The 25506-nt window shown below is 39.7% G+C and overlaps 1 protein-coding gene across 7 annotated transcripts in view, besides 1 other annotated feature; it reads right to left on the bottom strand.

Annotated features, from left to right (window-relative positions):
- The window catches only part of FNDC3A (fibronectin type III domain containing 3A), a 234489-nt gene that overhangs the window by 32695 nt on the left and 176288 nt on the right, over positions 1-25506 (bottom strand). For all 7 annotated transcript variants that reach the window (NR_103528.2, XM_017020440.3, NM_001079673.2 and 4 more), the window contains 5 exons: positions 9782-9841; positions 8334-8472; positions 4989-5042; positions 2526-2650; positions 1544-1718 (listed from right to left, as the gene is read on the bottom strand). Coding sequence is in view for 6 of the 7 variants with exons in the window: in XM_017020440.3 (XP_016875929.1) it covers positions 1544-1718; positions 2526-2650; positions 4989-5042; positions 8334-8472; positions 9782-9841 (553 nt within the window). In the remaining variant the exon portion in view is untranslated. The remainder of the gene's footprint in view (positions 1-1543; positions 1719-2525; positions 2651-4988; positions 5043-8333; positions 8473-9781; positions 9842-25506) is intronic.
- Positions 11175-11732: an enhancer, noted in NCBI's record as "H3K27ac-H3K4me1 hESC enhancer chr13:49739489-49740046 (GRCh37/hg19 assembly coordinates)". NCBI's record gives its function as "activates a minimal SCP1, AML or CMV promoter by ChIP-STARR-seq in primed H9 embryonic stem cells {active_cell/tissue: H9 hESC(primed)}" and the evidence as "EXISTENCE:reporter gene assay evidence [ECO:0000049][PMID:30033119]".

Here is a 25506-nt window from a genome sequence, read left to right as displayed (position 1 = left end):
GGCTCAAGTCTGTAATCTCAGCACTTTGGGAGGCTGAGGTGGGAGGACCACTTGAGCCTAGGAGTGTGAGACCAGCCTAGGCAACATAGCGAAACTCTGTCACTACAAAAAATAAAATTAGCCAGGCATGGTGGCATGTGCCTGTAGTCCCAGCTACTTGAAAGGCTGAGGTGAAAGGATTGCCTGAGCCCAGGAGTTCAAGGCTGAAGTGAACTGAGATTGTGCCACTGCACTCCAGCCTGGGCTACAGAGCAAGACCCTGTTGCAAAAGAAAAAAAAAGACTGAGTTCTCCATCATACCTAACCTCTCCCAAACAGTAACAAGCCAAGGCTTCAAAGGACTGGGAAATGAGCTAACTACTGTGGCAATACTTACTGTATTAGGAGTGGCAATATTTATTGTATTAGGATTAATGCCACACTAAAATGTTTTTTTTTCTGATTTTTTAAAAAATTATACTTTAAGTTCTGAGATACATGTGCAGAACATGCAGGTTTGTTACATAGGTATACATGTGCCATGGTGGTTTGCTGCACCCATCAACCCATCATCTACATTAGGTATTTCTCCTAATGCTATCCCTCCCTTAACCCCCCACCCTCCAACAGGCACTGCTGTGTGATGTTCCCCTCCCTGTGTCCAGGTGTTCTCATTGTTCAGTTCCCACTTGTGAGTGAGAACATGCAGTGTTTGGTTCTCTGTTCCTGTGTTAGTTTGCTGAGAATAATGGTTTCCAGCATAGCCTACCAACCAAAAAAAGCCCAGGACCAGATGGATTCACATCTAAATTCTACCAGAGGTACAAAGAGGAGCTGGTACCATTCCTTCTGAAACTATTACAAACAATAGAAAAAGACGGACTCCTCCCTAACTCATTTTATGAGGCCAGCATCATCCTGATACCAAAACCTGGCAGAGTCACAACAAAAAATGAAAATTTCAGGCCAATATGCCTGATGAACATTGATGCAAAAATCCTCAATAAAATACTGGCAAATTGAATCCAGCAGCACATCGAAAAACCATGATCAAGTTGGCTTCATCCCTAGGAATGCAAGGCTGGTTCAGCATATGCAAATCAATAAACGTAATCCATCACATAAACAGAACCAATGACAAAAACCACATGATTATCTCGATAGATGCAGAAAAGGCCTTTGATAAAATTCAATACCCCTTCATGCCAAAAACTCTCAATAAACTAGGTACTGATGGAATGTATCTCAAAATAATAAGAGCTGTTTATGACAAACCCACAGCCAATATACTGAATGTGCAAAAGCTGGAAGCATTCTCTTTGAAAACTGGCACAAGATAAGGATGCCCTCGTCTCCTATTCAACATAGTACTGGAAGTTCTGGCCAGGGCAATCAGGCAAGAGAAAGAAATAAAGCGTATTCAAATAGGAAGAGAGGAAGTCAAATTGTCTCTATTTGCAGATGACATGATTGTATATTTAGAAAATGCCATCGTCTCAGCCCAAAATCTCCTTAAGCTGAAAATGTTTTAAATACACTATTTAAAATCCATATTTGCACTTACTGAAGTTTCTTCCTCCATCTCTAAAATGTAAGAAATTCCTTCATCTGATGGTGTTCCTGAGGGCTTACTCCATTGTAAGGATAACCAAGTAATTCCAGCCTTGGTTAATACAGGACTTGCTGGCATAGAAGGAGCACAGCCTGAGGTGTAATATAAGACTTCTTCACTAAAACCACTGTTGAAACAAATGGTTTTAAAAGGCATGAAAAAGTTATTTTTACAGTGAAAGAACAAGTTTGTGACAGATGTAATTTTTTTGGAAAATGACAAGTTTTGATAATGAATTATAATACAAATAATATATCTTGGGTTTGATCTCTTTATGATAACCAGGTCAGATACCAAACAGTGAATTAGTGTTCTATTAAAAATGCAGTTTTGTTCAGATTTGTAAGCCTTTATATCATAATTTATCGAGTCAATGAAAAAATATACACATTACCTTATGGAAACAATAACACTCGTGTATTGGTGTAAATGTTGTAACTTTTAAACACACTTTCATATAATGCCATTTATATAAAATAGAAAATGTAAGTTCTCAGTTGTGTAATTAAACGCACCTGCCCCTAAGGTGAGCAGAGCTATCTCTAGAACAAAAATAATTTCAATGACTCTTGAAAGATACTTGGCCTTTCTATTTAAATTGGGTATTTTAGATGTTCTTACAGTTCACCTGACTTTAAACAAAATACTGTCATCACATATGCTGAGGAGCAAAAGAAAAATCTCTTTGTCACATATAAAAATCTAATTTATATCTGAAAATCTTGGAAAGTTGTAAGTTTAATGTTTCCTGTGGTTCCTATGTAACTAACTCTCTTATAGCTTTTGCTAGACTGGTAACACATCTTAACTATATCAACAAAGAGATAAACTAAGCAGAATTTTTAATGAATAATTTGGACAGTAAATAATTATACAATTGACGTTGACTTGATAATCTAAAAATATTTACATTCTTTTATAAAGTACACCTTACCTTGTACCATAGTCATTTCTGGCCGATAGTCTGAATTTACAGCCCATTGCTGGTGAAAGTTTAGTAATTTTAAATTGTTTCTGTGAGCCCATGTAACACTGACAAAATTCTCCATTTCCTTTTCCCTACAAGAAATGGCTGATTATTATATACCATGTACATTACTGTAAAAAGATAAATTCGCATCAATTCCTTCTTGACAGTTACATATTAGCAAGTGTATACTAAAAGTCATGGATCTCAAGAGAAGGCTGAGATACAGCACATCTTTTATATGATATAGATCATCAAATGCAGAATTAAAACACCAGAGAGCAGGTATCTTTGTACAGCTTCTTGAATTAAGTACCATCTTTTAGCCAATGTTAAATCTCTGGCTTTAATAAAGGAAACTCTGCAGGTATGGACCCTACAATCTCCATAGAAGACTACCAGTGGTAGAAATGGGGTGACGATCTTTGATAGGGTCAACTGGCGGCTTTTTTCAACCTATGGAAAGCTCTAAGCAGACAGTTTTAAGAAAAGGTCCTTACCCATGCCCAAACTTCCAACTAGATAGCTCATAAACTTCTTTAAAATAAAACTTTTGGCGCTTCTACTGCTTAGATTAACACTGAAAATGTTCTAGCAGAGAGCACAGCCCAATTACAGGCAATAAGAAGGAGAGAGAAAAGAGGACAACTAAAGAGTTTTAGAAATTTAGAGTGGTAACTAAAATGGGTAAGTTTCACATTTGCCACCCATTTTTCTTTATTGTGTTGCTAGAGATAAAATGGTAGTTAGGGTGACTTCTGCTTCAAAGAAAACCTGTAGACTGTACTTGACTGCTTTACTAAATGCTCTTTTTAGTTCTGATGTTGTTTAGTTGATTCGACTGAGTTTCTAAGTAGAAAATCATATCATCTCTAAATAATGACAGTTTTGCCCCGAGCCAGACACCATGACTGTACTTTTTGCTTTGGTTTCAAGTCATACTGCCTTAAGTGTAACTTCTGAAATAATGTTAAATAAAGGTAGGGATAATTGGCAATCTTGACTTATTTCAGCTTTGCATAAAAATGCCTTTGTTTAGTGATGGTACAAAAATAACTATCAAGTAAGAAATTACCTTTCTATTCCTAATCTGCTTTGAGTTTTAACTGAGATGAATGGTAATTTTTATCAAATACTCTTCCTTAATTTAGCAATATAGTTTTCTTCTAAATTAATGTGATATGTTAATAGGTTTCCTAATTCTAAATTATCTTAGAATTTCCGGAATAAAATCTACTTGGTTGTGCTTTATTATTCTTTTAATATACTGCCGAATTCCCAACTTATCAATGGAATTTCTTCCACTCCCTCTGGCCCCTCTTCTTAGCTTGGTACAAGCCATAGGGCAAGAGAGAACATGGTAACTGATAGTAAAAACAATGTACTAAACCAAGCTTGTCCAACCTGCGGCCCAAGGGCCACATGCGGCCCAGGACAGCTTTGAATGTGGCCCAACATAAATTTGTTAACTTTCTTAAAACATTATGAGATATTTTTGTCATTTTTTTAAAAGCTCATTAGCTATTGTTAGTGTTAATGTAGGTTGGTGCAAAAGTAACTGCTGTTTTTACCATTACTTTTAATGGCAAAAACAGCAACTACCTTTGCACAAATGTAGTATTTTGTGTGGCCCAAGGAAGCCAAAAGACTGGACACCCCTGTACTAAACAATGAAGTCCAGTATGCTTGCTGTGGTTGGCTGAGTCATGGCCACCATGAATATCCAGGTCCCAATCCCCTGAACCTGTGAATATAACCTTATATGGTAGGTGGGACTGTACAATGTGACTAAGAATCTCGAGATAGGAGCTTATCCTGGATTATCTGAATAGACCCTACATGGAATCATAAGTGTTCCTAAAAAAGGAAGACAGATTTGAAGACAGAGGAGGAAGGTGATGTGATGATGGAAACAAGGGGAGAAAACGCAATGTGATGTGGCCATGAACCAAGTAATGAGGACAGCCTACAGAAGCTGGTCAAGGCAAGGAAACAGATTCTCCTCTAAAGTCCCTGGAGAGGGCCTGGCCATGCTGACACCTTGATTTTGTCCCAGAGAAACTCATTTTGGATTTCTGGCCTCCAGAAAAGTAAGAGAATAATGTGCTGTTTTAATGTCAGGTTTGGGGTAATTTGTTATAGCAGCCATAGGAAAGGAATACACTTGTCTTTAAGGCTGATGTGAAAAAAAAGTTCCTTTATCAAGGTAGTTACCTAAATAATAATTTTGATGGTGATTTATTGAAAATAGGGAAGTTAAGTCAGGAATGTTTTCTGAAAACACCATCAATCCACTCATGCACCACACAAAATCATTCATACTTTTTTTGACAGAAGAATATACTTGATGATTAAAACAAACAAAAAAGTTAATTTTGCCTGAACATATGCACATAATGTTAACCATTTAAAAAGATTCAATTTACTTACTTCATCCCATTCTAATACAAAGTTTTGGATTTTAGAACCATTGTCACTAGGTGCCTAAAACCAACACCAAAAAACAAAATGAAAACAAATTAGTACATTCATAAATGATACTGTGATGATCTAATATAAGGATCTAGTTTATGTGGCAGATGTTTTCTGTGACTTGGTCCTGCGAAAATGTTCATAAAAATACAAAAATATATGTATTGTATGCCCTATAATCCTTTCAAATTTAAGGAAAGAAAGCAAGAAGCTACTCAAGTCTTTCCGAACACTGAACAATCTCTTTTAGCAAGAACTATTAATAACTTGAAAAAGTCTTTAAAAAAACCATTTTGCTTTTCTTCCAGAGAGTTTTATCAGCTTTAAGGTTGTAGGATTGATCCTGTCATTTGTATTAAAACTCACCTTACAAAATAAATGGAATATTGTATAAAATACCAAAGAGTGAAGAACCAGGGTGCTGAAAGGAGCTCTGAGAGGGCAGTGTCTTGGTCCTTGTTTCTATACTCACTGTGCTGGTTACCTGAGACTGCTGACTCAGCAATCTGTTATTATTTTAGGTGTAAAAGTATGCAGTCTCCCTTGGCATTTTATTTCAGTATTTAATCACTCTAAAAATCAAGAATTTCAACCTTACTTCCATCTGAATTTTCCTTCTACAATTTCAGCCCATTTCCTCTTTGCAGAATAAATGGTCACCCCTATTCTTATTATAACTCCATATATTTGCAGACAATTGACTTTAAGACTCCCCTGGTCAAAATTAAACCATTTTAATTTTTGAAATGATGTTTTTTGGACTCTATCCAGTTTTTATATAATATTGCTAACTATGTAAATGGCAATCAAGGATCATTAAGTTTTTAATACAGATGAACATGGAGGTCTAAATTATTTGTTAAACGCTAATACAGATCTTACATTAATTTTTTTTAAATTATAATTTTAAACTGGTTAGCATGGCCAGAATTTGCTTGTAAGTTAGGGTAATATCTCACTGACTGGCAAAGTAGTGGCAGTTAAAAATGAATATAATGTGAACGGGGCAGAGGAAGAATCTTTGGGAAACTCCAGCTCTTATGATATAGAGGAAGAGAATCCAAAGAGAGAGATCAAAAGTCTCAGCAGGAAGTGAGGGATATAAAAAGACATTTTCCAAGTGTTAATGACTCCAGATTGCTCTAGTCTAGTTGCTGAGGTCTCTCACACTTACTTGATTAATTTTTCTCTTTTTCCAGTGAGGCTATTAAAATGTCCACCTTAACCTAAGACTGATCCTCTAGCTTTTCTCCAAGTTTGAGGGGATACTATTAAGTGTAAAGTGTTTTACCTTATCTCATTTAGTCCTCCAATCAACTCTATGAAGTACTATTACCTGAACTTTACAAAAGAGAAAATGAGGGCTTCAAAGAACCAAATAAATCATCCCAGATCACAAAGTCATTAAAAGTAGAGCAGAACTGAATTTGTTCTATCTGCCCACAAAAATCAGTGTTCCTACCCAGCACTATTCTAGGGGCTGAGAAGTAGATAGTCTGCCTTGGGGGACTGGCAATAAGACAGAAAAAGACCATCTTTAGTGAGCTTTTTGTCATCACCATGCTCTGGCAATTCTAAACAATGTCAGTTAATAAGATACCTCTCTCAACTGCTATCTCCCATGTTAACCACCATAGGAATGCTTTTAGATTAGGTGAGGTAGCAGAGTCAAAAGACCAGATATTCAAGTCACTAAACTACTTTTAGTGACTTTTCTTCATTTTTAATATTAAATAACAATAGTTATTACGCTCATTATGTTCCAGACATTATACTATGGGCGATTTAGATGTTACCTGTTTAATCCTCCCGACTCTGAGGTATATAATACTATCCTCCAATAACAGTGACAATGATATCTTTTTCCAACCATGTTGATTACTGTGTGTGTATATAGGGTCATTTCTAGAAGGGTTCAAGCCTGGGAAACCTGTGTGGGTAATCTGAGGTACCACCACCTACATCTTATATAGGGATGTTAGGATATTGTTAAAGGCAGACATTTCAAAATTCTATTTTAATTATCTTCGAAATAAAGAACAGTCACCTACAGAAATCTTAACCTATATAAACAACAATGGGCTGCTACCTCAACTGCTCTACCAAAGGAAAGGGTCTGAGCATATCCACAAATAAAATACTACTGTAAGTGACACGAAATAAAATTAGTCATACTTTTTTATCACACATGAATATATGTATATATACACAGCTGCTTGACTTACATGTGTTAACAGTACTTTTTGACTACAAAAGTATCTAATATCCTCAGAAGAACTAGAAACTAACAAGCTACAGAACAAGTAGTAAGCCCCACATTTTTAAAAGCTTTCAAAAGTAAGGCTAGCCCTGAGCTTGCTCTCAAAGCAAGGACAGATAATTAAAATCAAGAGGAACAGTTACATCTCACTGCAAACCAATGCTAACAGGAGTGGTACCCCATTCTAGGGGATGTTTTGAAATTTTGTGGGGGCTATTTCTAACCTGATCACAATAATGCAGGAGGGGAGAGTCTGGTGGTATGGGGTGAAGATCAAGGGCGCTAATAGCCCTGCAGAATGGGGGACAATCAGTATGATGGGGAATTGTTCTCTTCCTCTAGGACTTCTGAATATCTATCAGAATTGAAGAACCAAATCCCATTTTATAAAGTATTTTTTGTATGGTTTTAACAGACACCAAGTTTTCCAAAATGCAATAACTGTGCAATCTGGGAAAGACTGCATTTAATTTGTTCAGAAATTTACCAAGTCCACACTATTTCAGAAAATTATATAATCAGTGACAATGTTGTCTGTGGTATTTGAATGACTAATTCTATGTATGGTATCTGTCCACTTCATTGTATCTTCTTGTGTAGCTAGGACCAAACGTTTATGAATTAAAATATATATTTTTCTATTGACAATAACTTTATTCCTCCTTTTAGGCAGCATATTGATTTATGAGTATAGTTATTATAAATCTAATTTTAGAATACAATTCAGAATATAAAGGCATCATGACGAAATATTACAAAAAGGAGTAATGGGTTAAGAATCACTGTTGTGAATCTCAATGTCATCACATGTGCAATGTAATAAGGACTGTTAATTACAAATCGTTTTTGCTATATTTACATATAGTAAGAAAAACCAGTAACAGTGCTATTTTAAGATACATTAAATAGGCATTTGTGTCTTATATGTAAAAAGCAGGAACAAATTAAAGCTCTTTGTCTCCAGCAACAATTGAAACTTAATACTACCAGGGGAAACAAAGAAACACATGTCCAGTTGGAAACACCCTAAAGAATATTCTTACCTTCCATTGCAAAGTGAGTGAATTTTTGGTCCGATTGGCTATCCTTGGTGGATTAGGTATATCAGGTTCACAGCTCAAGGTGGTAAAGATTTCAGCCTCTGAAGGAGTTCCCTTTATAGAATTATATTCTGCCTGGACTCTATGGTGATAAAATAAATAGTTTTACCTTTCATAATCACTGTATCCTGTTTTCAATAGTGTCACCTTTAAGTACTTGCAGATTAGGAAGGTGTCCACTAAAAGTTCTATCAAGAAAATATGACTATTAGAAGTAAAAGGTGACCGTTAAAAAAAAAAGGACAAGTTTTTTTTTCTTTTTTGCTGCAACCCAAAGAAATAATTTAAAATTGTGATATAACTGTGAGTGTGCATATATATTCCTGAAACAATGTTCTCAACTATGGGGAATACACTGATGCTTTCTGTCCTATTTGATTCTATTTCTCTTTTTTAAAAAATGCTGAATATAACCCACAGAATTAAATTCATGATTAAATGTGACTACAATCTACAGTTTGAAAAAGGTTAGGTTGGACAATACTTTGAGTATATCCATAGTAAGTACACTTGAACACTTAGTAGTTTAACAGAAATAATCCCAACCACATGTGCTCTTTTTAAAAATGGGGGTAATTAACTAAATGTGTTATATTAGGCTTCAGCTGGGTAAGCCCTAGAGTCTATGAAATTTTAGTAAATTACACTAGAAGACCTGCATAGAGTAAAACATTATCTAAGTTCTTCCTATTAAATGTTGTGAAATTCTAGAGTCTTGGTATCCCGAACCCTAAAACAGGATGTAGTAAAAGATATGTGTAAACAAAATATTTATAATTATTTTATAAAAATTCCAAAAGCTGGGACAAGTTTCCAGTGCCAAACCAGATGCTACAGACATATTCTACAGATTCATTCCAAACCCAAAATTCTACAAACAGGATGATTAGTCCTTGACTGTAACATGAGTTAAATGTTTTTTTTTTGGAAAAATTTTGATAATTTTACCAATAGAAAAACTGAAGTCTGCAAAGTTTTTTTTTTTGTTTGAGACAAGGTCTCACTTTGTAGCCCAGGCTGGAATACAATGGCACAATCATGGCTCACTGCAGTCTTAACCTCCTGGGCTCAAGCAATCCTCCTACCTCAGCCTTCCGAGTAGCTGATACCACAGGCCTGCACCACCATGCTTGGCTACTTTTTGGATTTCTTTGTCGAGATAGGGTCTCACTATGTCACTCAGACTGGTCTTGAACTCCTGGGCTCAAGAAATCCTCGTCTTGGCCACCCAAAGTGCTGGGATTACGGGCGCACTGCGCCCAGCCCACAAAGTCTGTTTTTAATCCAAAATTAATGTTTAAATTATATACTAGATTTTTAAGAAAATAATTATTTAAAAAAAAAACCCCTTATGCTGTATCTTATAAAGGCAATCTGTAGGAATTCCTTACTTTGCATGGTAATCCATGGCTGGCTTGAGATCATTTAAAGTGATATTTGTTTCTTCTCCTCTGGGGAAAAAAGGGTAATATATCATGTCTGATAAATAAAGCATTTTCAACCAATGTACATTATATACACTATAGTTTAGAGTATTTTATGAAACTACTTCTTTCTTTACCAACTGTAACTGTATTCAGATTCCACTAATATGGAATTTGGCAGTTAGGATATGTAACAAACTTAACATGTGTACCTGCATACTACTTTAAAACAGAAGGTAGTGCTAAGCAAATCAGCTGTGTAAGCCAGACTCTTTTTTTTGGAGTGGAGTTAAGGAAGATATTTAGCTTACTGAAGAAACAAAACTATTATCAATTATTTAAAAATCCATTTTGCACAGTTAATAAATAAAACATGTACTGTTGAAAGCAAAATTGCCAATTTTTTACAAGGACTCTGCCACTATTTTATTAGAAAATAATGTGGAACTTCATTTAAAATGTTACACTTTGAACAGATCACCTAAGAGAGAACACTGGAATTAAACTGGAAACATGTAAAACAAGGAAGGAGAAGGAAGTAAGCCTGCTCGGCTGCAATCAGCTGGGAGCCTAGAAAGGTTGTCCAGTGTGGGGAAAGGGTAAGTAAGTGACCCCCAGTGGTACACATTCCCACCGTGGACTCCTGTATTCTAGTCATGGGAAAGACCCTAGACCCTTGTGGGCTGCAACTAACATAGGGAGATGCCTGGAGTTGTGCAAGACATTGCTCAAGAGAGGGAGTTCACGCTGGGTCCTATATACTTCCCAAACCCTAAGCAGCTAGAACAAGGTATCATATTGAGAGCACAACCCCCAAAAGACTGCATCCTGCCCACAAGCCCTACAGTCCCCACATCTCCACATGTCTGGAGCCCCACTGACATTTCCTACCCACAGGCCACCACTGTCACTGGCTGCTGCTTTCAGGACTAAAGCCTGAGCCACTGGCAAAGATCCTGTTGCCCCCAGCAGTGAAGCTGCTGCACATCTTCATGCACTCCAAGGACAAACTTCCTGTCTGCAGCAACTGCAGCTGTGGGCTGCTGCAGCTGGGGCCAAAGCGCAAGTGAAGTGGGTATTCCCTAGCAGCCTGCATATAGCTGTTGCCACTGAAAGCCCTCCCTAATAGCAGGTCTGCAGCATAGCCACTGCCGCCTCCACCTGAGGATTCTTCCTTGGGCCTGGGGGTCATCCCTACCCTGCCAACACAGTTAGCACCTACAAACACCACTGGAGGGCCTGAGGACAGGTCTTGGCTCTGTGCCCCCAGTGTTTGAGCACACTGTCTGGGAGGCCTGGGGACTACCTAGCCCAGTCCATCACCTGTGCCACACACCTGAGCACTCCTCCTGGTGGCCTGAGATTGAGCCCACCCAACCTGCCTTTAATCACTGCAGCAGGCACCCATCTGCATGTACCACCTGTGGGCCTGGGGACTGGCTTGCCCAGCCTGTCACAGTCACCATCAACATCAGCATGGACTGCTTGGAACCCAGAGGTTAGTCCTGCCATTGCTAATGACATCACCGAAGCCATATCTGCTTCCAGAGGCCAAAGAACCCACCTGGCCACCTGCCTGACCCACTGCTGCCACTACTAGCACCTGAGCAAGCTGCCTAGAGGCCCAAGAATCAGCATGCCTGGATTTGCTAACACTGGTACTCATGTACAACACCTGGGGGCCCAAGGACAGGTAGGCTTGGGCCTGCTGCTGCCCCTACTGAGGCCCGAGGACAGGCCCACCTCACATCCCCATCCCCAGCAAAACTTCACTACAGCCTCCACTAACAACTGCACCCTAAGCCACTGTGGAAATCACAGACACCATAACACTGTTTATAGCAGAAGTTATACAAAGACTACACTTCAGCATGTACCCTGAATCAAAGTCAAAGTGTTCTACCCAACCAACACAATAGATGCATCTTCAGGAAAAAGTCCTCCCCTATGAAAGCAACCTCAAAAAATTGAAAGAAGTGACTGCTATACCAGATGCATGGATACTGACATAAGGACACAAGAAATATGAAAAAGCAAGGCAATATGACACCTCCAAAGAAACACAATAATCCTCCAGCAACAGATTCCAATCAAAAACAAAAATTTAAGAAATCCCAGATTATAAATTTGAAATAGTGATATTAAAGATGCTCAGCTCAAATATAAGAAAAAACAGAAAAGCAATACAAATAATTTAGAAAAACAATTTGGAATATAAGAAATTTACCAAAGAAACATAATTATAAGAAAGAACCAAACAGAAATTCTGGAACTGAAGAATTCATTAAATGGAATACAAAACACATTCAAAAGCATCAACAAAGGACTAAAAACAGCTGATGAAAGAATTTCAGAATGTGAAGTCAGGTCTCTGGAAATAACCCAGTGAGACAAAGATAAACTTCGGGAGGCCGAGGCAGGCGGATCACCTCAGGAGTTCAAGACCAGCCTGCCCAACAAGGCGAAACTCCATTTCTACTAAAAATGCAAAAAATTAGCCGGCCGGTGGTGGCGGGCACCTGTAATCCCAGCTACTTGGGAAGCTTAGGCAGGAGAACTGCTTGAACCTGGGAGGTGGAGGTTGCAGTGAGCCGAGTTCATGCCACAGCACTCCAGCCTGGGCAACAAGAGCAAAACTCTGTCTCAAGAAAAAAAAAAAGAAGAAGAATAAAAATGAATGAACAAAGCCTATGTGACATATGAGACACTATAAAGCAACCAAATATTTGAATTTTTGGTATCCTAAACGGTGAAGAGAAAATAAAAGGGTTAGAAAACCTACTCAACAAAATAATAGCTGAAAACTTTCCAAGTCTAGCAAGAGATTTAGATATCCAGACACAGAAAGCTCAGAGAGTCAGATATGAAACAGATATAGATACAAAAGAGACAGAATGCAAAAAGGTCTTCTGCATGAAATTATAGTCAAACTGTCAAAAGTAAAAAACAAAGAAAATTCTAAAGATAGTAAGAGAAAAGCATCTAGTCACCTGTAAGAGAACTCTTATCAGACTAACGGGATTTCTCAGCAGAAAACTTACAAACCAGCAGGGAATGGGATGATGTATTCAAAGTGCTGAAAGAAAAACAGCTGTCAGCCAAGGATATTATACCCAACAAAGTTATGTTTCATAACTTTGAAGAGGAAGGAGAAATAAGGTATTTTCCAGACAAGCAAAAGCTGAGGGAATGCATTACGACTACAGCAGTTCTATAAGAAATGCTTGAGGGAGTCTTACACCTGGAACAAAGGGACAATATCTGCTGTCATGAAGACACATGAAAGTATAAAACTTACTGATAGAGCAAGCACACAAATGAGGAAGAAAAATAACTCAAATGTACCATTACAGAAAACCACCAAACCACAATCATAATAAGAAAGAATGAAACAAAGAACATAAAAACAACCAGATATCAATTAATAAAATGACAGGAATACACTCTCACGTGTCAATAGTAACTTTAAGATAAATGGATTAAACTTTCTACTTAAGGAGGCTGATCCAAGATGGCCGAATAGGAACAGCTCCAGTCTACAGCTCCCAGTGTGAGCAATACAGAAGATGGGTGATTTATGCATTTCCAACTGAGGTACCAGGTTCATCTCACTGGGACTTGTTGGAAAGTGGGTGCAGCCCAAGGAGTGTGAGCCAAAGCAGGGTGGGGCATAGCCTCACCCACAAAGTGCAAGGGGTCAGCGAATTCCTTTTCCTAGCCAAGGGAAGCCATGAAAGATGGTACCTGGAAAATCAGGACACTCCCACCCTAATACTGTGCTTTTCCAATGGTCTCAGCAAACGGCACACCAGGAGATTATATCCAGGGCCTGGCATGGAGGGTCCCACGCCCACAGAGCCTTGCTTACTGCTAGCAGAGTAGTCTGAGATCGAACTGCCAGGTGGCAGCGAGGCTGGGGGAGGAGCGTCCGCCATTACTGAGGCTTGAGTAGGTAAACAAAGCAGCCGGAAAGCTCAAACTGGGTGGAGCCCACTGCAGCTCAAGGAGGCCTGCCTGCCTCTGTAGACTCCACCTCTGGAGGCAAGGCATAGCTGAACAAAAGGCAGCAGAAACTTCTGCAGACTTCAACGTTCCTGTCTGACAGCTTTGAGGAGAGTAGTGGTTCTCCCAGCACGGAGTTTGAGATCCGAGAAGGGACAGACTGCCTCCTCAAGTGGGTCCCAGACCCCCGAGTAGCCTAACTGGGAGACACCTCCCAGTAGGGGCTGATTGACACCTCATACAGCTGGGTGCCCCTCTGAGACGAAGCTTCCAGAGGAAGGATCAGGCAGCAATATTTGCTGTTCTGCAATATTTGCTGTTCTGCAGCCTCCGCTGGTGATACCTAGGCAACAGGGTCTGGAGTGGACCTCCAGCAAACTCCAACAGACCTGCAGCTGAGGGACCTGACTGTTAGAAGGAAAACTAACAAACAGGAAGGAATAGCATCAACATCAACAAAAAGGACATCCACACCAAAACCCCATCTGTAGGTCACTATCAGCAAAGACCAAAGGTAGATAAAACCACAAAGATGGGGAGAAACCAGAGCAGAAAAGATGAAAATTCTAAAAACCAGAGCACCCCTTCTCCTCCAAGTATCACAGCTCCTTGCCAGCAACGGGAACAAAACAGGACGGAGAATGACTTTGACGAGTTGACAGAAGTAGACTTCAGAAAGTTGGTAGTAACAAACTTCTCCAAGCTAAAGGAAGATGTTTGAACCCGTCACAAGGAAGCTAAAAACCTTGAAAAAAGATTAGACGAATGGCTAACTAGAATATACAGCATAGAGAAGACCTTAAATGATCTGATGGAGCTGAAAACCATGGCACGAGAACTACGTGACACATGCACAAGCTTCAGTACCAGATTCCATCAAGTGGAAGAAAGGGTATCAGTGACTGAAGCACAAATTAATGAAATGAAGTGAGAAGATAAGTTTAGAGAAAAAAGAGTAAAAAGAAACGAAAGAAGCCTCCAAGAAATATGGGACTATGTGAAAAGACCAAATCTACGTCTCATTGGTGTACCTGTAAGTGGCAGGGAGAATGGAACCAAGCTGGAAAACACTCTTCAGGATATTATCCAGGAGAACTTCCCCAACCTAGCAAGGCAGGCCAACATTCAAATTTACGAAATACAGAGACCACCACAAAGACACTCCTTGAGAAGAGCAACCCCAAGACACATAACTGTCAGATTCACCAAAGTTGAAATGAAGGAAAAAATGCTAAGGGCAGCCAGAGAGAAAGGTCGGGTTACCCACAAAGGGAAGCCCATCAGACTAACAGCAGATCTCTCGGCAGAAACCCTACAAGCCAGAAGAGAGTGGGGGCCAATATTCAACATTCTTAAAGAATTTTCAATCAGAATTTCATATCCAGCCAAACTAAGCTTCATAAGTGAAGGAGAAATAAAATCCTTTACAGACAAATTTACAAGCAAATCCTGAGAGATTCTGTCACCACCAGGCCTGCCCTACAAGAGCTCCTGAAGGAAGCACTAAACATGGAAAGGAACCATCAGTACCAGCCACTGCAAAACATGCCAAATTGTAAACATCATCGATGCTAGGAAGAAACTGCATCAACTAATGGGCAAAATAACCGGCTAACATCATAATGACAGGATCAAATTCACGCATAACAATATTAACTTTAAATGTAAATGGACTAAATGCCCCAATTAAAAAACACAGACTGGCAAACTGGATAAACAGTCAGGACCCATCAGTGTGCTGTATTCAGGGGTCCCATCTGCTGAATACATGCAGACACACACACAGGCTCAAAATAAAGGGATGGAGGAAGATCTACCAAGCAAATGGAAAACAAAAAAAAGCAGGGGTTGCAGTCCTAGTCTCCAATAAAACCGACTTTAAACCAACAAAGGTCAAGAGACAAGGCCATTACATAATGGTAAAGGGATCAATTCAACAAGAAGAGCTAACTATCCTAAATATATATACACCCAGATTCATAAAGCAAGTCCTTAGAGACCTACAAAGAGACTTAGACTCCCACACATTAATAATGGGAGACTTTAACACCCCACTGTCAACATTAGACAGATCAACAAGACAGAAAGTTAACAAGGATACCCAGGACTTGAACTCAAGTCTGCACCAACTGGACCTAATAGACATCTACAGAACTCTCCACCCCAAATCAATAGAATATACATTCTTCTCAGCACCACATCAGACTTATTCCAAAACTGACCACATAGTTGGAAGTAAAGCACTCCTCAGCAAATGTAAAAGAACAGAAATTATAACAAACTGTCTCTCAGACCACAGTGCAATCAAATTAGAATTCAGGATTAAGAAACTCACTCAAAACCGCATAACTACATGGAAACTGAACAACCTCCTCCTGAATGACTACTGGGTACATAACGAAATGAAGGCAGAAATAAAGATGTTTTTTGAAACCAATGAGAACAAAGACACAACATACCAGATTCTCTGGGACACATTCAAAGCAGTGTGTAGAGGGAAATTTATAGCACTAAATGCCCACAAGAGAAAGCAGGAAAGATCTAAAATCGACACCGTAACATCACAATTAAAAGAACTAGAGAAGCAAGAGCAAACACATTCAAAAGCTAGCAGAAAACAAGAAATAACTAAGATCAGAGCAGAACTGAAGGGGATAGAGACACAAAAAAACCCTTCAAAAAATTAATGAATCCAGGAGCTGGTTTTCTGAAAAGATCAACAAAATTGATAGACCGCTAGCAAGACTAATAAAGAAGAAAAGAGAGAAGAATCAAATAGATGCAATAAAAAATGATAAAGGGGATATCGCCACCAATCCCACAGAAATACAAACTACCATCAGAGAATACTATAAACACCTCTATGCAAATAAACTAGAAAATCTAGAAGAAACAGATAAATTCCTGGACACATACACCCTCCCAAGACTAAACCAGGAAGAAGTCGAATCCCTGAATAGACCAATAACAGGCTCTGAAGTTGAGGCAATAATTAATAGACTACCAACCAAAAAAAGCCCAGGACCAGATGGATTCATAGCTGAACTCTACCACAGGTATAAAGAGGAGCTGGTACCATTCCTTCTGAAACTATTCCAATCAATAGAAAAAGAGGGAATCCTCCCTAACTCATTTTATGAGGCCAGCATCATCCTGATACCAAAGCCGGGCAGAGACACAACAAAAAAAGAGAATTTTAGACCAATATCCCTGATGAACATCGATGTGAAAATCCTCAATAAAATACTGGCAAACCGAATCCAGCAGCACATCAAAAAGCTTATCCACCATGATCAAGTTGGCTTCATCCCTGGGATGCAAGGCTTGTTCAACGTATGCAAATCAATAAACGTAATCCATCATATAAATAGAACCAAAGACAAAAACCACATGTTTATCTCAATAGATGCAGAAAAAGGCCTTTGACAAAATTCAACAGCCCTTCATGCTAAAAACTCTGAATAAACTAGGTATTGATGGGACGTCTCTCAAAATAATAAGAGCTATTTGACAAACCCACAGCCAGTATCATACTGAATGGGCAAAAACTGGAAGCATTCCCTTTGAGAACTGGCACAAGACAGGGATGCCCTCTCTCTCCACCCCTATTCAACATAGTGTTGGAAGTTCTGGCCAGGGCAATCAGGCAGGAGAAAGAAATAAATGGTATTCAGTTAGGAAAACAGGAAGTCAAATTGTCCCTGTCTGCAGATGACATGATTGTATATTTAGAAAACCCCAGTGTCTCAGCCCGAAACCTCCTTAAGCTGATAAGCAACTTCAGCAAAGTCTCAGGATACAACATCAATGTGCAAAAATCACAAGCATTACTATACACCAATAACAGACAAACAGAGCCAAATCATGAGTGAACTCCCATTCACAATTGCTTCAAAGAGAATAAAATACCTAGGAATCCAACTTACAAGGGATGTGAAGGACCTCTTCAAGGAGAACTACAAACCACTGCTCAATGAGATAAAAGAGGACACAAACAAATGGAAGAACATTCCATGCTCATGGATAGGAAGAATCAATATCGTGAAAATGGCCATACTGCCCAAGGTAATTTATAGATTCAATGTCATCCCCATCAAGCTACCATTGACTTTCTTCACAGAATTGGAAAAAACTACTTTAAAGTTCATATGGAACCAAAAAAGAGCCCACATTGTCAAGACAATCCTAAGCCAAAAGAACAAAGCTGGAGGCGTCATGCTACCTGACTTCAAGCTATACTACAAGGCTACAGTAACTAAAACAGCATGTTACTGGTAAGAAAACAGAGATGTAGACCAATGGAACAGAACAGAGCCCTCAGAAATAATACCACATATCTACAAACATCTGATCTTTGACAAACCTGACAAAAACAAGAAACGGGGAAAGGATTCCCTATTTAATAAATGGTGCTGGGAAAACTGGCTAGCCATATGTAGAAAGCTGAAACTGGATCCCTTCCTTACACCTTATACAAAAATTAATTCAAGATGGATTAAAGACTTAAATGTTAGACCCAAAACCATAAAAACCCTAGAAGAAAAACCTAGGCATTACCATTCAGGACATAGGCATAGGCAAGGACTTCATGACTAAAACACCGAAAGCAATGGCAACAAAAGCCAAAATAGACAAATGGGATCTAATTAAACTAATGAGCTTCTGCACAGCAAAATAAACTACCATCAGAGTGAACAGGCAACCTACAGAATGGGAGAAAATTTTTGCAATCGAAGATGGCCGAATAGGAACAGCTCCGGTCTACAGCTCCCAGCGTGAGCGACGCAGAAGACTGGTGATTTCTGCATTTCCATCTGAGGTACCGGGTTCATCTCACTAGGGAGTGCCAGACAGTGGGCGCAGGTCAGTGAGCGCGCGTACCGTGGGCGAGCCGAAGCAGGGCGAGGCATTGCCTCACTTGGGAAGCGCAAGGGGTCAGGGAGTTCCCTTTCCGAGTCAAAGAAAGGGGTGACAGACGCACCTGGAAAATCGGGTCACTCCCTCCCGAATATTGCGCTTCTCCGACCGGCTTAAAAAACGGCGCACCACGAGATTATATCCTGCACCTGGCTCGGAGGGTCCTACGCCCACGGAGTCTCACAGATTGCTAGCACAGCAGTCTGAGATCAAACTGCAAGGCGACAGCGAGGCTGGGGGAGGGGCGCCCGCCATTGCCCTGGCTTGCTTAGGTAAACAAAGCAGCCGGGAAGCTCGAACTGAGTGGAGCCCACCACAGCTCCAGGAAGCCTGCCTGCCTCTGTAGGCTCCACCTCTGGGGGCAGGGCACAGACAAACAAAAAGACAGCAGTAACCTCTGCAGACTTAAATGTCCCTGTCTGACAGCTTTGAAGAGAGCAGTGGTTCTCCCAGCACGCAGCTGGAGATCTGAGAACGGGCAGACTGCCTCCTCAAGTGGGTCCCTGACCCCTGACCCCCGAGCAGCCTAACTGGGAGGCACCCCCCAGCAGGGGCACACTGACACCTCACACGGCAGGGTATTCCAACAGACCTGCAGCTGAGGGTCCTGTCTGTTAGAAGGAAAACTAACAAACAGAAAGGACATCCACACCAAAAACCCATCTGTACATCACCATCATCAAAGACCAAAAGTAGATAAAACCACAAAGATGGGGAAAAAACAGAACAGAAAAAGTGGAAACTCTAAAACGCAGAGCACCTCTCCTCCTCCAAAGGAACGCAGTTCCTCACCAGCAACGGAACAAAGCTGGATGGAGAATGACTTTGACGAGCTGAGAGAAGAAGGCTTCAGACGATCAAATTACTCTGAGCTACGGGAGGACATTGAAACCAAAGGCAAAGAAGTTGAAAACTTTGAAAAAAATTTAGAAGAATGTATAACTAGAATAACCAATACAGAGAAGTGCTTAAAGGAGCTGATGGAGCTGAAAACCAAGGCTCGAGAACTACGTGAAGAATGCAGAAGCCTCAGGAGCTGATGCGATCAACTGGAAGAAAGGGTATCAGCAATGGAAGATGAAATGAATGAAATGAAGCGAGAAGGGAAGTTTAGAGAAAAAAGAATAAAAAGAAATGAGCAAAGCCTCCAAGAAGTATGGGACTATGTGAAAAGACCAAATCTACGTCTCATTGGTGTACCTGAAAGTGATGGGGAGAATGGAACCAAGTTGGAAAACACTCTGCAGGATATTATCCAGGAGAACTTCCCCAATCTAGCAAGGCAGGCCAACGTTCAGATTCAGGAAATACAGAGAACGCCACAAAGATACTCCTCGAGAAGAGCAACTCCAAGACACATAATTGTCAGATTCACCAAAGTTGAAATGAAGGAAAAAATGTTAAGGGCAGCCAGAGAGAAAGGTCGGGTTACCCAAAAAGGGAAGCCCATCAGACTACCAGCGGATCTCTCAGCAGAAACTCTACAAGCCAGAAGAGAGTGGGGGCCAATATTCAACATTCTTAAAGAAAAGAATTTTCAACCCAGAATTTCATATCCAGCCAAACTAAGCTTCATAAGTGAAGGAGAAATAAAATACTTTACAGACAAGCAAATGCTGAGAGATTTTGTCACCACCAGGCCTGCCCTAAAAGAGCTTCTGAAGGAAGCGGTAAACATGGAAAGCAACAACTGGTACCAGCCGCTGCAAAATCATGCCAAAATGTAAAGACCATCGAGAATAGGAAGAAACTGCATCAACTAACGAGCAAAATCACCAGCTAACATCATAATGACAGGATCAAATTCACACATAACAATATTAACTTTAAATGTAAATGGACTTAATGCTCCAATTAAAAGGCACAGACTGGCAAATTGGATAAAGAGTCAAGACCCATCAGTGTGCTGTATTCAGGAAACCCATCTCACGTGCAGAGACACACATAGGCTCAAAATAAAAGGATGGAGGAAGATCTACCAAGCAAATGGAAAACAAAAAAAGGCAGAGGTTGCAATCCTAGTCTCTGATAAAACAGACTTTAAACCAACAAAGATCAAAAGAGACAAAGAAGGCCATTACATAATGGTAAAGGGATCAATTCAACAAGAAGAGCTAACTATCCTAAATATATATGCACCCAATACAGGAGCACCCAGATTCATAAAGCAAGTCCTTAGAGACCTACAAAGAGACTTAGACTCCCACACATTAATAATGGGAGACTTTAACACCCCACTGTCAACATTAGACAGATCAACGAGACAGAAAGTCAACAAGGATACCCAGGAATTGAACTCAGCTCTGCACCAAGCGGACCTAATTGACATCTACAGAACTCTCCACCCCAAATCAACAGAATATACATTTTTTTCAGCACCACACCACACCTATTCCAAAATTGACCACATACTTGGAAGTAAAGCTCTCCTCAGCAAATGTAAAAGAACAGACATTATAACAAACTATCTCTCAGACCACAGTGCAATCAAACTAGAACTCAGGATTAAGAATCTCACTCAAAACCGCTCAACTACATGGAAACTGAACAACCTGCTCCTGAATGACTACTGGGTACATAACGAAATGAAGGCAGAAATAAAGATGTTCTTTGAAACCAACGAGAACAAAGACACAACATACCAGAATCTCTGGGACGCATTCAAAGCAGTGTGTAGAGGGAAATTTATAGCACTAAATGCCCACAAGAGAAAGCAGGAAAGATCCAAAATTGACACCCTAACATCACAATTAAAATAACTAGAAAAGCAAGAGCAAACACATTCAAAAGCTAGCAGAAGGCAAGAAATAACTAAAATCAGAGCAGAACTGAAGGAAATAGAGACACAAAAAACCCTTCAAAAAATTAATGAATCCAGGAGCTGGTTTTTTGAAAGGATCAACAAAATAGATAGACCGCTAGCAAGACTAATAAAGAAAAAAAGAGAGAAGAATCAAATAGACACACAAAAAAAATGATAAAGGGGATATCACCACTGATCCCACAGAAATACAAACTACCATCAGAGAATACTACAAACACCTCTACGCAAATAAACTAGAAAATCTAGAAGAAATGGATAAATTCCTCGACACATACAATCTCCCAAGACTAAACCAGGAAGAAGGTGAATCCCTGAATAGACCAATAACAGGAGCTGAAATTGTGGCGATAATCAATAGTTTACCAACCAAAAAGAGTCCAGGACCAGATGGATTCACAGCCGAATTCTATCAGAGGTACAAGGAGGAACTGGTACCATTCCTTCTGAAACTATTCCAATCAATAGAAAAAGAGGGAATCCTCCCTAACTCATTTGATGAGGCCAGCATCATTCTGATACCAAAGCCGGGCAGAGACACAACCAAAAAAGAGAATTTTAGACCAATATCCTTGATGAATATTGATGCAAAAATCCTCAATAAAATACTGGCAAAACGAATCCAGCAGCACATCAAAAAGCTTATCCACCATGATCAAGTGGGCTTCATCCCTGGGATGCAAGGCTGGTTCAATATACGCAAATCAATAAATGTAATCCAGCATATAAACAGAGCCAAAGACAAAAACCACATGATTATCTCAATAGATGCAGAAAAAGCCTTTGACAAAATTCAACAACCCTTCATGCTAAAAACTCTGAATAAACTAGGTATTGATGGGACGTCTCTCAAAATAATAAGAGCTATTTGACAAACCCACAGCCAGTATCATACTGAATGGGCAAAAACTGGAAGCATTCCCTTTGAAAACTGGCACAAGACAGGGATGCCCTCTCTCACCACTCCTATTCAGCATAGTGTTGGAAGTTCTGGCCAGGGCAATTAGGCAGGAGAAGGAAATAAAGGGTATTCAAGTAGGAAAAGAGGAAGTCAAATTGTCCCTGTTTGCAGACGACATGATTGTATATTTAGAAAACCCCAGTGTCTCAGCCCAAAATCTCCTTAAGCTGATAAGCAACTTCAGCAAAGTCTCAGGATACAAAATCAATGTACAAAAATCACAAGCATTCTTATACACCAATAACAGACAAACAGAGAGCCAAATCATGAGTGAACTCCCATTCACAATTGCTTCAAAGAGAATAAAATACCTAGGAATCCAACTTACAAGGGATGTGAAGGACCTCTTCAAGGAGAACTACAAACCACTGCTCAATGAGATAAAAGAGGATACAAACAAATGGAAGAACATTCCATGCTCATGGGTAGGAAGAATCAATATTGTGAAAATGGCCATACTGCCCAAGGTAATTTACAGATTCAATGCCATCCCCATCAAGCTACCAATGACTTTCTTCACAGAATTGGAAAAAACTACTTTAAAGTTCATATGGAACCAAAAAAGAGCCCGCATCGCCAAGTCAATCCTAAGCCAAAAGAACAAAGCTGGAGGTATCACACTACCTGACTTCAAACTATACTACAAGGCTACAGTAACCAAAACAGCATGGTACTGGTACCAAAACAGAGATATAGATCAATGGAACAGAACAGAGCCCTCAGAAATAACGCCGCATATCTACAACTATCTGATCTTTGACAAACCTGAGAAAAACAAGCAATGGGGAAAGGATTCCCTATTTAATAAATGGTGCTGGGAAAACTGGCTAGCCATATGTAGAAAGCTGAAACTGGATCCCTTCCTTACACCTTATACAAAAATCAATTCAAGATGGATTAAAGACTTAAATGTTAGACCTAAAACCATAAAAACCCTAGAAGAAAACCTAGGCATTACCATTCAGGACATAGGCATGGGCAAGGACTTCCTGTCTAAAACACCAAAAGCAATGGAAACAAAAGACAAAATAGACAAATGGGATCTAATTAAACTAAAGACCTTCTGCACAGCAAAAGAAACTACCATCAGAGTGAACAGGCAACCTACAAAATGGGAGAAAATTTTTGCAACCTACTCATCTGACAAAGGGCTAATATCCAGAATCCACAATGAACTCAAACAAATTTACAAGAAAAAACAAACAACCCCATCAAAAAGTGGGCGAAGGACATGAACAGACACTTCTCAAAAGAAGACATTTAGGCAGCCAAAAAACACATGAAAAAATGCTCATCATCACTGGCCATCAGAGAAATGCAAATCAAAACCACAATGAGATACCATCTCACACCAGTTAGAATGGCAATCATTAAAAAGTCAGGAAACAACAGGTGCTGGAGAGGATGTGGAGAAATAGGAACACTTTTACATTGTTGTTGGGACTGTAAACTAGTTCAACCATTGTGGAAGTCAGTGTGGCGATTCCTCAGGGATCTAGAAGTAGAAATACCATTTGACCCAGCCATCCCATTACTGGGTATATACCCAAAGGACTATAAATCATGCTGCTATAAAGACACATGCACACGTATGTTTACTGCGGCATTATTCACAATAGCAAAGACTTGGAACCAACCCAAATGTCCAACAATGATAGACTGGATTAAGAAAATGTGGCACATATACACCATGGAATACTATGCAGCCATAAAAAATGATGAGTTCATGTCCTTTGTGGGGACATGGATGAAATTGGAAATCATCATTCTCAGTAAACTATCGCAAGAACAAAAAACCAAACACCGCATATTCTCACTCATAGGTGGGAACTGAACAATGAGATCACATGGACACAGGAAGGGGAATATCACACTCTGGGGACTGTGGTGGGGTGGGGGTAGGGGGGAGGGGTAGCATTGGGAGATATACCTAATGCTAGATGACGAGTTAGTGGTTAGTGGGTGCAGCGCACCAGCATGGCACATGTATACATATGTAACTAACCTGCACAATGTGCACATACACCCTAAAACTTAAAGTATAATTAAAAAAAAACCAAACAATTTTTTTTGCAATCTACCCATCTGACAAAGGGCTAATATCCAGAATCTACAAAGAACTTAAAACAAATTTATAAGAAAAAAATCAACCCCATGAAAAAGTGGGCGAAGGATATGAAGACATTTCTCAAAAGAAGACATTCATGCAGCCAACAGACACATGAAAAAATGCTCATCATCACTGGTCATCAGAGAAATGCAAATCAAAACCACAATGAGATCCCATCTCACACCAGTTAGAATGGTGATCATTAAAAAGTCAGGAAACAACAGGTGCTAGAGAGGATGTGGAGTTACAGGAATGCTTTTACACTGTTGGTGGTAGTGTAAACTAGTTCAACCATTGTGGAAGACAGTGTGGTGATTCTTCAAGGATCTAGAACTAGAAATACCATTTCACCCAGCAAGCCCAATACTGGGTATATACACAAAGGATTATTAATCATGCTACCATAAAGACACATGCACACATGTTTATTGTGGCACTATTCACAATAGCAAGGACTTGGAATCAACCCAAATGTCTACCAATGATAGACTGGATTAAGAAAATGTGGCACATATTCACCATGGAATACTATGCAGCCATAAAAAAGGATGAGTTCATATCCTTTGTAGGCACATGGATGAGGCTGGAAACCATCATTCTGAGCAAACTATCGCAAGGACAGAAAACCAAACACCGCATGTTCTCACTCATAGGTGGAAATTGAACAATGATAACACTTGGACACAGGGCCGGGAACATCACACACTGGGGCCTGTCATGGCAGGTTGGGGGGATGGGGGAGGGATGGCATTAAGTGAAATACCTATTGTAAATGACAAGTTAATGGGTGCAGCACACCAACATGGCACATGTATACCTATGTAACAAACCTGTACGGTATGCACATGTACCCTATAACTTAAAGTATAATAATAATAAAA

Source organism: Homo sapiens, chromosome 13 (assembly GCF_000001405.40).
Source record: "Homo sapiens chromosome 13, GRCh38.p14 Primary Assembly".
NCBI classification, from domain to species: domain Eukaryota; kingdom Metazoa; phylum Chordata; class Mammalia; order Primates; family Hominidae; genus Homo; species Homo sapiens.
The sequence above is the reverse complement of the archived record's forward strand: the minus strand, read 5'-3'. Positions and strand labels throughout refer to the sequence as shown.